Raw genomic sequence first — 13,206 nt, 5'->3', positions numbered from 1 at the left:
CATGATAACTATGAATACATTCACTACTCTATGCTCTTGACTCCCAGTGTCCTGTCCTGTAGTGTTGCATTTGCACCAGATCAGATAAGAAATCTAATAAGTATATTCTTGAATATGTTATTTTTCCTAGAACACACACTTTTTTTGGTGAATGGGAGACCAGAGTCTTATTATTATTCAAATCAGTCTCCCTGAGCATTTGGGGATCAGAGATTTTAAGGATAATTTGGTAGGTATGGGGGAAGCCAGTAAATCGAGAGTGCTGATTGTTTGGGTCAGAGATAAAATCGTAGGAAGTTGAAGCTGTCTTCTTGTGCTGAGTCAGTTCCTGGGTGGGGGCTACAAGATCAGATGAGCCAGTTTAACAATCTGGGTAGCACCAGCTCATCCATCAAGTGCAGGGTCTGCGAAATATCTCAGGCACTGATCTAAGGTTTTATAATAGTGATGTTGTCCCCAAGAGCAATTTAGGGTGGGTCAGAATCTTTCAGCTGCCAGCTACATGACTCTTAAACCATAATTGCTAATTTTGTGGCCAATTTGTTAGTTCTAAAAAAGCAGTCTAGTTCCCAGGCAAAAAGGAGGTTTGTTTTGGGAAAGGACTGTTTTTGTCTCTGTTTTAAACTATAAACTAGGTTCCTCCCAAAGTTAGTTCAGCCTATGCCCAGGAATGAACATGGACAGCTTGTAGGTTAGAAGCGAAATGAAGTTAGGTTAGCTCTCTTTCACTGTCTCAATTATAATTTTACTATGGCAGTTTCAATCCATCCCTTTGAGTTTCAAAACATCTTAACCTTAAGATGTTGACTAAACAATATGAAAAGTGGGCAAAGACCACTCTAACTTCTTCCTGCTAAGCAAGGTCATAGTGGGGGTAGGTGTTGACCCCAAGGTGAGAGGAGTGGAACCACTTTGCAACTGTCTGAGTGTACTCACACAGACCGTTCTGGGGTTCCAAGGCTCGCATGACAAAGGCATTAGAAAGTATCATTTATAGCTTTAGTACAGCATTCCGGGAGCAGCGTACTATAAGGTAAATAATGAGTTCCAGAACCAGGAGTGCAATTCCCAGTTTTAAACGTAAAGATTTGAAAGCATTAGTTTGGGAACTTGTAGCCCACAAAGAATTTAGGATTTAGCCCAAACGTCAGAAAAAACACCGAAGAACAACTAACAACAGGTGTACTATAGCTGTTTTTGGTTTTTTTGAAGCATAATTTTTCTCTCTCCAGTTGTCATTTTTATAAAAAATCAATCATACCAGGTCAAATTTACTGGTAAAATAAGTTTTAGTATTATTGTTCTCTTCCTAATTATTTGCATGAAATGCAGTAGGAATAATTACTTGCCATCTAGGTTCTTTCTAATATTGGCTTTGCTGAAACTTTGCTCTATAAGGAGTCTCAGATTGTACCTTTTTAAAGCCCTGAAGCCCAGCCATGGATTTATCTTTCACTACAAATACCTGTGAATTCCTCTCCTCGAGGTCCCAAGATAATCTGGTGCTCCTGGGCCTATCAGAAAGTGACATTCTTTATTTATCACAGGTCAGGAACCTTGTACAGGGACTGGGTAGACAAGGTATAAGGCCAGATTTCCCAAAGGGGTTTTTATTGGCTCTATAAGTCAACTTTGATTCTTTAAAGAAAGCATGCCATTCTGGTCAAAGCCTTGCTTGGTAAGAAAACAGTTTCTCCAATTGTGTCCTGTTATGAATGAAAATGTATTCTTATTGCACTGATGCTAATAACTATACTGCCGTAAGTTGAGATTACTCCCAAATAGGTTCTAAATGCTGGAGAAATAAAGTAGAATGAAAGCAATATGCTCCAAATTTATCTCCCAGGAGACTTTACTCACTTGCTAAAATATGTAAATAGCTAAAAAGAACTAAGTTTTTTTGACTCTGAAAACAAAAGGATTAGCAATGGTTAATACATCAACTCTCCATGAGAGCCCCAGAAGTTTGTTTTTTTCCTCTATTCCAGTAACAACAATTTTAAAGTTATCAGAGAGGTGCATTCAAGAATACCCCATCAGATCCCTATCTCTGATTAAAAACTGCCTTTTGAGACAGATCAAAAAAAGACAAAATTGCCTGTGGATGACAAAAGTCTTAGGATAGCCACTGTTAAAGCTGTAATTGACTAGGAATCTGGTACTTTTGTGGCATACAATAATTTTACATAACAATTATAATTATTTATAATATACACTAAATCATATTAGAATTACAGAAGCTTCCCATAATTTTGGAACACATATTAATAGCATACTTATATAAATACAGCCCAAAGAAAGCCAAACACCATTTCATATTTGACAATGCTTCCTGTATGAATATACCAAATAAGCCAAATATGTTATTTTTGGACTTTAGGGGACCTAACATCTAAAAGATTAATTATGTCAGAAAAAGACATACTTTATAATTTGATTTTGGAAAGTTTATGAAATATCAAAGTTTTAAAACACTGAATATCACAAAATAGAATTCCAGGTAACCATAAGTCATTCATTTGGCCATAACAATAACTCCAAAATTTTAAAAGGGAAAAAGCTTTACTCTGATAGAGGAGACTTAGCATTTGAAACAACAAGGCCCAATTAAGATAGCATGAGGCCAATTGAATCCATCTCTTCTCTCTCTCCTCTCTTTTATACTGGTATTTACCCAAAGAGCAAACAAAAACCTTTTGTTATCTTTTAATATTATATAAAAAATCTTTTTTTAAAAGAGAAAACCTAATTTCATGTTCTCATTAGTGCACCTTTCATGCCAAAACTAGTTTTTAATAAAATTTTATAAATCTGTCTAATTTGAATTAAACATAAGGTAATGTTTTAATAAACTTTTAAGAACCCTTTACAATTTTCTGTTAAACAGAAGATCAGTTTTCTTAGAGAACCCTGTTATTCAGACACATGGGCACAGATTCTGGCCCTGTGTCAGTGTGCTTTTATTTAAATGTTCAACCTATGGGGAAAAAAAGTAAATAATCACCTTCAAATCTTAGCCAACTTGCTCAGACTCACAGAACTTTATAATACTAACCCTTCATGAACCCTTTTCAACTTACTTAAATTTTCAGTTTTGTCCCACTATTCTTTCAGTTTAAGACAATTTTTAAAATGTTCTGAGCTAGACAAAATTACATTCTTTTTAACAAAAACCATATTCCCATGCCTCCTTATAATCTTTTACCAAAAACACATTCTACTTTCCTTATACACCTTGTATGTAAAACTGTTTCTACAGTAGTTGCTGCTACATGTTACAATGTTAGTTTTTCGCAACTTTTATTTTTGGTGAAAAACCTGTTAAGTAAGTGATTTTAATTATGTACTAGGTGTGGAGTCTAGGACACCAGACCGAAGATCAAATAAGGTCTGACTTGTTTCCATCATAGGTAGTGGACATGGCTAACTCCATATGTTCCCAGGCCTTATCTAGAATCTAATGGCTCCAAAGCAGGTAAGTTGAACAATTTTCAAAAGTCAAAGAAGCAGTTTATGACCTTAAAGCATTTTCAACTCATTTTGGAATCAGCGCATCCCCCATGGCACTCTCATCTCTCAGTTGGGGGGTGGGGAGGTGGGGATGTTTCCATACTTTCCATGTGGCCAACAGCATGCTTCTCTGATCCAAGTATGTAAAGAGCCAAGTATCCCTCCATAACTGTCATTAGCCATCCCTCACACAATGCAAAGTAATTTCTGATATCCCCAAAAGTCAAAAAAATCAGGTAACATAATGTAAAGTATAACAGAGCCTTGGATTTTGAGAAGTATATATCTGTTTTCACTTCCTGGGGTTCCATGAGGAAAACAGAGGTTTTTCCCAGAACGGGGTTTTTCCCCAGGAGTCCCAGGCTGTGGTAATTATCTTAGGTTTTCTCATATGGGCATCAAGAGAGGCAAGAAGAAAAATGAAGAAAAACAATTCAATTGACTGAGAAGAAAAACACTTTTTTTTCTTTCAGAAAAATATGGCCCAAGAAGAGAAAAAACATAAAGCCTTTTTAAATATGTGTAGAGCTTAGATATCTGTTTTTAATTAAGCTGATTGTAACCACAGAATTCTTTTTTCTTTTCTTTCTTTCTTTCTTTCTTTCCTTCTTCCTTTCTTTCTTTTCTTTTTTTAATAAGATTTAGAATCTCCCCAAGGGTAGTTCAGGGAAAGAAAAATTCAAGACATGGGGGGGAAATCTCAATAAATGACAAAGTTACACAAATAATAAACCAGAAAGGACTCATTCCTGCAGCAAAGAGATGAACTCAGGCTGCCATTGTCAAAAGACATAGCCTTGGCTCCTGAGTTACAGCATTGAGCACTTTCTATTGCATCTCCTAGAAGCCCAGTACAGCCAATTTCAAGCTTGCAAAGGCTTATAACTGCTTAAGATGATTTTTACGGCTTACTATGACATGAACTCCTAATACCCATCCTCTTGATGGTGGACAACAAGAGAAAGTAGCCCCACATGATCACAAGGTTAAGCTGTTACGTACAGAAAACAAGACAGAGAAATTTCATCTGGTACTGGTTTTAGGGACTTGCAGCAAAGTTTGTAACTGACCAACCTGCTGGGCTGGCTTGAAAGCAGGCTTATAGGAGTCCTAAACCTATGTTCTATCCTGTGATACCCCTCTGTAATAGTCCATTTCCATACCACTATAAAGAACTGCCCGAGACTGGGTAATTTATAAAGGAAAGAGGTTTAACTGACTCACAGTTCTGCATGGCTGGGGAGGCCTCAGGAAATTTACAATCATGGTGGAAGCTGAAGGGGAAGCAAGGCACCTCCTTCACAAGGTGACAGGAAGGAGAAGTGCCAAATGAAGGGGGAAGAGCTCCTTACAGAACCATCAGATCTTGTGAAAACTCACTCACTATCACAAGAACAGCATAGGGGAAACAGCCCCCATGATTCAATTACCTACACCTGGTCTCTTCCTTAACACATGGGGATTATGGAGATTATGCGAATTACAATTCAATATGAGATCTGGGTGGGGACACAAATTCTAAGCACATAATTCTGCCACTGGTCCCCCTCAAGTCTCATATCCCTTTCACATTTCTAAACCAAAAATGCGTTCCCAATAGTCCTACAAAGTTTTAATTCATCCCAGAGTTAACCCAAAAGTCCAAGTTCAAAGTCTCATTCAAGACAAAGCAAGTCCCTTCTGCCTATGATCCTGTAAAATCAAAAGCAAGTTAGCTACATCTGAGATACAATGTGGGTACAGCATTGGGTAAATACATCTGCTCCAAATGGGAGAAATTGACCAAAACAATGAGACTACAGTCCCCATGCAAGTCCAAAATTCAGTGGGGCAGTCAAATCTTAAAGCTTCAAAATGATCTCCTTTGATTCAATATCTCACATTCAGGTTATGCTGATGCAAGAGGTGGGTTCCCATGATCTTGGGCATCTCCACCCCTGTGGCTTTTCAGGGTACAGCTCCCATCCCTGGCTGTTTTCACAGGCTGGTGTTGAGTGTCTGCAGCTCTCCCAGGAGCATGGAAGCTGTTGGTTGATCTACCATTCTGGGGGCTGGGGGATGGTGGCCCTCTTCTTACAGCTCCACTAGGCAGTGCCCCAGTGTGGACTCTGTATGGGGTATCCAACCTCACATTTCCCTTCTGCACTGCCCTAGCAGAGTTTCTCCATGAGGGCACCACCCCAAAGCAAACTTGTGTTTAGACATTGAGGCATTTCCATACATCCTCTGAAATTTAGGTGGAAGTTCCCAAACCTCAATTCTTGAATTCTGTGCACCTGCAGGCCCAACACTACATGTAAGCCACCAAGGCTTGGAGCTTGTACCCTCTGAAGAAATGGCCCTAGCTGTACCGTGGCCTCTTTTAGCCATAGCTGGAGCTGAAGCAGTTGGGATGTGGGGCATCCAGTCCCCAAACTGCACAAAGCAGCAAGGCCCTAGGCCCAGCCCATCAAGCCATGTTTCTCTCTTAGGCCTCCAAGCCTGTGATGAGAGACGCTGCCAGGAAGCCCTCTGACATGCCCTGGAGACATTTTCCCCATTGTCTTGGTGATTAACATTTGAATTTCTTCCTAGAAATGTTTTTTTTCTTTTCTATTGCATTGTTAGGCTGCAAATTTTCCAAACCTTTATGCTCTGCTTCCCTTTTAAACATAAGTTCCAATTTCAGATTATCTCTCTCAAGTTAAAATTTTCACAGATCAGGGCAGGAGCAAAATGCCACCAGTCTCTTTGCTAAAGCATAGCAAGAGTCACCTTTGCTCCAGTTCCCAAAGAATTTATCTTCTCTCTCTGAGACCACTTCAGCCTAGATTCATTGACTATATCACTATCAGCATTTTGGTCAAAGCCATTCAACAAGTCTCCAGGACCTTCCAAAATTTCCCATATGTTCTTGTCTTCTTTTGAACCTTTCAAGCTATTCCAACCTCTGCCTGTTACCCAGTTCCAAAGTTTTGCTTCCACATTTTTGGATATCTTCATAGCAGTGCCCCACTCTCGGTATCAATTTACTATATTAGTCCATTTTCATACTGCTATAAAAAACTGCCCCAAGCTGGGTAATTTATAAAGGAAAGAGGTTTCATTGACTCATGATTCAGTATGGCTGGGGAGGCCTCAGGAAATTTACAATTATGGCAGAAGGCAAAGGGGAAGCAAGGCAACTTCTTTGCAAGGCAACAGGAAGGAGAATTGCCAAACAAAGGGGGAAGAGCCCCTTATAAAACCATCAGGTCTTGTGAGAACTCATTCACTATCATGAGAACAGCATAGGGAAAAGGCTCCCCATGATTCAATTACCTGTGCCTGGTCTCTCCCTTGACACGTGAGAATTGTGGGGATTATGGGGATTACAATTCAAGACAAGATTTGGGTGGGGACACAAAGACTAACCATATAACCCTCTCTCCATTACAGAACATCTCAGAAAGAAAAATTCTTATCACAAAGTACACCAGATTTGCTACAGCCTAACACTTAGTCTCACAAATCCTTTTTTCTATTAATCAAACCCTGGCTGAGGAGACAAACAGTGGGGTTTACCATTTACACACACACACACACACACACACACACACAGAGAGAGAGAAAGAGAGAGGGAGAGACCAGAAACTTGGTTGGTAAGAATTTCCCACCCTCTTTGCCAGTATACCGGGTTTCCAGGTTCCCTTTCTCTGCAGCTTCCAGAGTAACAGAGAGGCTTTTGATGACTCTACTCACTGTGCCATAGCTGTGGGGATCAAGCTACTTTACAAAGGAAAATAATATTGTTCTGTTTTATGGAACCATAGGGAAAAGCTTCTCAATTTTTCAAGAAGCTGCCCAACAGGTTGCATGGGGAATTGAATGAACATTTTCCATCTTAACTGAATCAAAATACACATAAGAAAACAGACAGTAGTCACCTCGCTCAGCACCCAACATTAACCTGGCAAGGCTCAAACTTTCTCCTGTTGGTCTCTGTCATCTGTGATCCATGCAACATGGGGAGCAGTGACCTCTGACCAGAATTCAATGGACGGTCTCTGGGCGAGAGACAAAGAGCAGAAGGTCACCTTGAGTCAGGACTGTTGAGCTGTCTTCAGCGCTCTCCAAAAGTGACCAGATAAATAAGAGAGATTCTCTGAGTTGGGCCTGCTAGACTTTCATCAGCAGTTCCTTCAGAGATCCCATCCACATATACAAATACACACACAACAAAGACAAGAGAGACAGAAGACCTTCCAAACCAAGACCCCTGACCAAGAATTCCATAAACTATTTTTTCCAAACTAACCTTCTACTCTCCGTCTGAGGAATCTGCCCGAAATATTCCAGATTGGGGAGATCTCCTGAACCAAGACACTTATCACTAATTAGGGAGAGCCAACTGAGACCCCCAACAGAGCCAAACCAAGACCCCTAAGGAGCTGAACCAAAACCCCCAAAGGAGTCAAATGGAGGCTCCAAAGTAACCGAACCAACTGGGAGAAGGAAAGGGGTATTGGCAGCACCCAGAATACTCACCAAATCAGACACCTCATAATGGGGCTACAGTTACAGACATCCTGTGGTGGAGCTATAGGCAGACATCCCACCGTGAAGCTACAGTTATGAGACATCTCCCCAGGACTACTTGTCTATTGCAATTAAATCTATGTACATTGGGTTGGCAGTGCCTTGCTAGTAGAGACAGTACCAGAGTCAGCCCCCAGTCAAAGAGAACTAGGCAGTCGCTTGGGCTGGCCTCTGGATCCGTCGCCAGAGGACAGCTACGAAACCACTGGCAAGTATGCGCAGGGGCAATCCCAACAAGCCCCCAGATTTGTAACTGCTCAACGGGTCCACCTTGCCTATTGCCTAGACAGCCAATTTATCGAAACAGGGGAATTGCAGTAGAGAAAGAATAATTCATACAGGGCCGGCTGTGCAGGGGACTGGAGTTTTATTATTACTTAAATCAGTCTCTGAACACCACACACTTTTAAATAATAAAAATCCAGTCTTTGATAGTTAAAGAAAGAAAATGCTTTCATTACTGGATATAAGTTGGTTCACAGAATCTTCTAAGTAGCCCAAGAATCAAATTATGAAGCTACATACTGCAACAACGAATGTACAAAAGCCATTCTCCCCAAGTTTGGCATCTAGTTATTGGGTAACAAGAAAATTACCATGACTGCTTTTGAAAAACTGAACACCTCTGCCATCATGATTGCTAGAAAATTAACCTGCATTTAGTGGCATCATATTTCATAATGCAGAAAATAAGCCCTAATGGTGTATATCCAATTGGCATAATGTAGGTTACAGGGCTCCACTATAGCAAAGAAGAGAAAGATAAAAATTTACATGTGAAACCCTAGGAAACCTGAACTAACCGTATGTGAAATTTGCAAAAGTTAGAAATCATTTCAATTTCTAATTGAAATTTCTAATTGAAATTGAATTTCAATTTCTAATTTCTAACTGAAATTTCTAATTGAAATTGAATTTCAATTTTGGGTAGCCTCAATGAAACCCACTCTAATGTTCCTCATTGTTTGATTCATAACATTTTATTTTCTTTCTATAATGATTGATACTTTTGGTCAGAGAATAAATAAATGATTGTGACCAATTAGCTGTCTTTAATCATTCTCTTCCATTGCCTTAGGTTTATGATATTATAATTTGAATGTGGAGGTAAAGCTTGTATTTTTAACTACATATTAGTTTTCAGATACGCATAACTTTAATGATCTATGTTGATATACGCTGCTTGTAGTAGGATGCATAGAAACCAGATTGGAAATCACTAGAGACCATTTATTGTATTCTACTTTCAATATAGGGTCTCTATATATGCTAATATTTATGCTGTATTCTAATAAATGTATTTAGAAAGCCAGTAATTGAAATGTTTGATTTTAAAATGATACTGTCACAACATTAGTGACATTTAAATTTCCCTTAACAATGCTACTATTCGACTACATGATTATTGACAAAATAACTTTTTAAATCGGTAAAAATAATTCACACTCTAATTTCTTCACATTAATAGACTCATATCTATACTTACCTCAAGGTAATGTCAGAAATCTGGAAGACATCAAAATATTACAATAATACTGCCAACAAATTTCTAAATTTTTTATATTTTTATACAATTAATACAATGAAACATATGAAAAATGTAAATATAGCATTGGAATAAACATTTTTGTTGCATTTAACATACTTTTTTCTTTTTTTTTTTTTGAGACAGAGTCTTGCTCTGTCACCCAGGCTGGAGTGCAGTGGCACAGTCTCGGCTCACTGCAACCTCCGCCTCCTGGGTTCAAGCCATTCTCCTGCCTCAGCCTCCCCAGTAGTTGGGATTACAGGCGCGTGCCACCATGTCTGGCTAATTTTTTGTATTTTTTTAGTAGAGACGGGGTTTCACCATGTTGGCCAGGGTGGTCTTGAACTCCTGATCTTGTGATCCGCCCGCCTCAGCTTCCCAAAGTGCTGGGCTTGCAGGCGTGAGCCACTTCGCCCGGCCTGCATTTAATGTGCTTAATGCATATTAATTCCTTTACTTTTTAATCTTCATCAAATGTTTAAAAAGCTTCTCCTTACTATTCATACAATATGTGTGTGTGTATATATGTGTATATATATACTCACCTAATAACAATGAGTGCTTAGAGAATAGATAGTACTGCATTATGACCAGGGATAAAAAATATGACACTCAGCAATAACTGTCATAATAATAATAACAATAATAATTAAATAACAGCAACTGAAAGAAAAGCGTCCTTTCCTGAGGAACTTGTGCAATGCATCAGTCATGCAACATAATCTTTTTCTTGCCATATAGAAAGCAATTATAGGCAAAGGGATACATATACACATATATATGTATACACCTATACATGTATATACACATATAATCAATTTAGATTTTAATCATCATATTAAAATATATTATTATATGTATAAGTTACACTGCAGGAGAGAATATGCCTAAGAGAATTATGGAAGCTGTATTTGAAAAGAAAGATGTGTTTGGTCTTGGTGTTGAAATAGTTTACTCTGACGATAATATATAGGTGATATTAAAGGAATGTCTCAGAGAGCTGAAGTATGTATTACATCACATTTTGAAAATAACAGCCACTTTCCTGTTTCAAGTTATAAATTGATTACATAATCTATTATATTATGGTCCAAAATAAAAGTAAATTTATAAAAATCCTGATTGTAAGTTGTGTTTGCCATTCCTATTCAAGAATGTCAAAAAACTAAAAATTTATATAATTAGGTATCTATAGAAATATTTCTTTCAATGAGGTTAACGTTTGAATGTTTATTAGTTGGTATAACTTCCATTTTAATGTCTATTTTACCTTGAAATGAACAGATCAATTTAGTCCTTTCCAATGGCATAAGCCCCATTGATTTTGATAAAAAGCATTAGCTTTCAAAACCTGTTCTATGAAGCAAAAATTATGTTTTCTTCAGTCTTTAGAGAAAATAAGTAAACATAAATTAAGGGCAGAGACTGTGTCTTGGCAGTGTCCTTTTCCCCCCTCCCCTGTGGTATCCAACATATTATAGGTCTTTGATGAATGTTAAATCACGATGATGACAAAATCCTGAACTATCTCATTCTTTAAATCATCAAACTATGAAATGTTATCATTCACACATGATGTTAAAATAGCTTTTAAAAAAATAGCACATTTATATTTCCTTAGGTCATTTTGATAAAGCAAAACAATTGGCATACATGACAGCTTCCCATCTATCTGTGTGTTTAATAAAGCCAAATGTGATGAAGACTAATGTACCATATTGATGTTTGGAGAATTTCATTAATGTATTTCCAAAACTATCATAACTCACTCACCTCTGTTGAGTTTATGAGCCATGGGTTTTGCACCAGCACATAAAATCAGCTTTCCTCACACAGTGCAGACACTAATAATATCAAAGATGTCACTTCTTCACATTTTGAAACAAGGTGACTCATTTCCTTCTTCTCAATGTAGTAAGACAATGGAGTTATTTAAATTAGTACTGAAATTAAGAACTTATGCAAAGTCACTAAGTGAGGGTACCATGTTTTTCATAAGAAAAGCCTGGTTTTTTTAAGTCACAAAATTCAAAGTGGTACGACAAAGCAAGTCTTACCTTTGCTCAGAAATGTAATTTATTAGAAATACAGTTTATTAATAAAATCTCCTTATATCGATTATTAATATTCACTTTACTGCTCCATGAAATATTTTAAAAATCCTCCAACAGTATATTGATGATGTGCTAATAACAAACAGATACAGTTACTTACTCATTAACCTTCAAATAGTAGTATAATCAGAATGTAAGCCTTATATTTATTAACTATGTAGCATTCATCTGTATTTATAATTAGGTTGATTCAAATATAGATCTTAAGAATATTTTCATAGGCCATCTATCTCACCCCATTCTACCACCTTTGGAGGTTCTACTTATATAGCTGCTATCATAAAAAAACAAAATTATTAAGTGTGTTTAATAGCTATAAATCAAGTAGATAAAGATGTGAATGAAAAAACAAAAAAGCAATGCCTACATCTGGCTTCTGTCTACTTCTCTGACTTCTGGTAACAATCCCTTTTTTCTCTCTCCTTCCCCCATACACACCTCATTTACTCCTCTCCTGGCTCACTGGCCTTCATCGTTGCTTCATTATGTGAAATGCATTCTCTCTCAGATCTAATGTACTTTCTTCTCTTTCTGTTTGGAAAGTTCAAATGCAATTTCTTGCATGGCTGCCTACTGGTGATCCTATAGGTCTCAGTGTATTTTATTATGATGCATGTGGAAAAAAATGAATTTCTCATCCACTCTCAAATACAGGGAATCAGTTAGTGGATTTTCATGGATTTTGGCCCAAATAACATGAAGTACTAGAATTATTTTTTTTTTCCAAAAATAATGAGGCAGCAGTTTCTGTGTTGTTTCACCACTTAAAAAAATGATGTAACGTTGTAATATTGGATAAGTCACTTACAATATTTTTCTCATCTGTGTAAATTTAATGCTTATATTACTGAACACACATTTTTAGATAAGCATCAGATATTGAATGTAAGAACTTACAGAGGTATTCAACCTAGTATTTTTCCCCCTTTATATCCATGATGGTTTCCACAAGTATTCACATTGCCAAAAGGCCAAGTGAAAATGATTACACAGTCAATAGAAAAACAGTGCAGATACTTCCAGTGCAAAATACAAAAGCAGGCAGGGAAATTCCTAAATTGTCCACAATTTAGTTCCTATGATATATTTAACACATTTATTTATTTATTACAACTATATAAAAACTATATTCCAATCAACAGATATAAATGATAAAATTTCTCTGTAATTATTTTATTCATTATCATGCAATACATGTAGTGAATGCAGCAGTATGAAAAATGCAGAAAATTGTTAGAAAAGTCATTAAATCCAAAAAATGAAAAAAGAGAATTAAAAAGGCAGCAGTATTGACTTTTCTTTTAGGCCTGTATATATAGGCTTCTCAAATCCTCTAGTGAAGAGAGAGTATAATCACTTCTTTGCAAATTGCCTTTCCATATTATTGTTAACTTTATTGTAAGGTTAACTGAATATAGCTTAGCATAATATATTTGTGTGTATTCTCATGTAAGCCTTTTCTTATCTCTGTTAAGACTTGAATTTGAAGAACTACTT

At 37.2% G+C, this 13,206-nt stretch overlaps 1 non-coding gene across 1 annotated transcript; it reads right to left on the bottom strand.

Annotated features, from left to right (window-relative positions):
* Positions 1–12,238: 12,238 nt before the first annotated feature.
* Positions 12,239–12,363, bottom strand: SNORA107 (small nucleolar RNA, H/ACA box 107). The gene has a single exon (NR_132852.1). It is a non-coding gene; the product is annotated as a small nucleolar RNA, H/ACA box 107 (small nucleolar RNA).
* Between the last annotated feature and the right edge of the window lie 843 nt (positions 12,364–13,206).

Source organism: Homo sapiens, chromosome 13, assembly GCF_000001405.40.
Source record: "Homo sapiens chromosome 13, GRCh38.p14 Primary Assembly".
NCBI lineage: Eukaryota > Metazoa > Chordata > Mammalia > Primates > Hominidae > Homo > Homo sapiens.
This window is presented reverse-complemented; position numbering and strand designations above follow the sequence as displayed.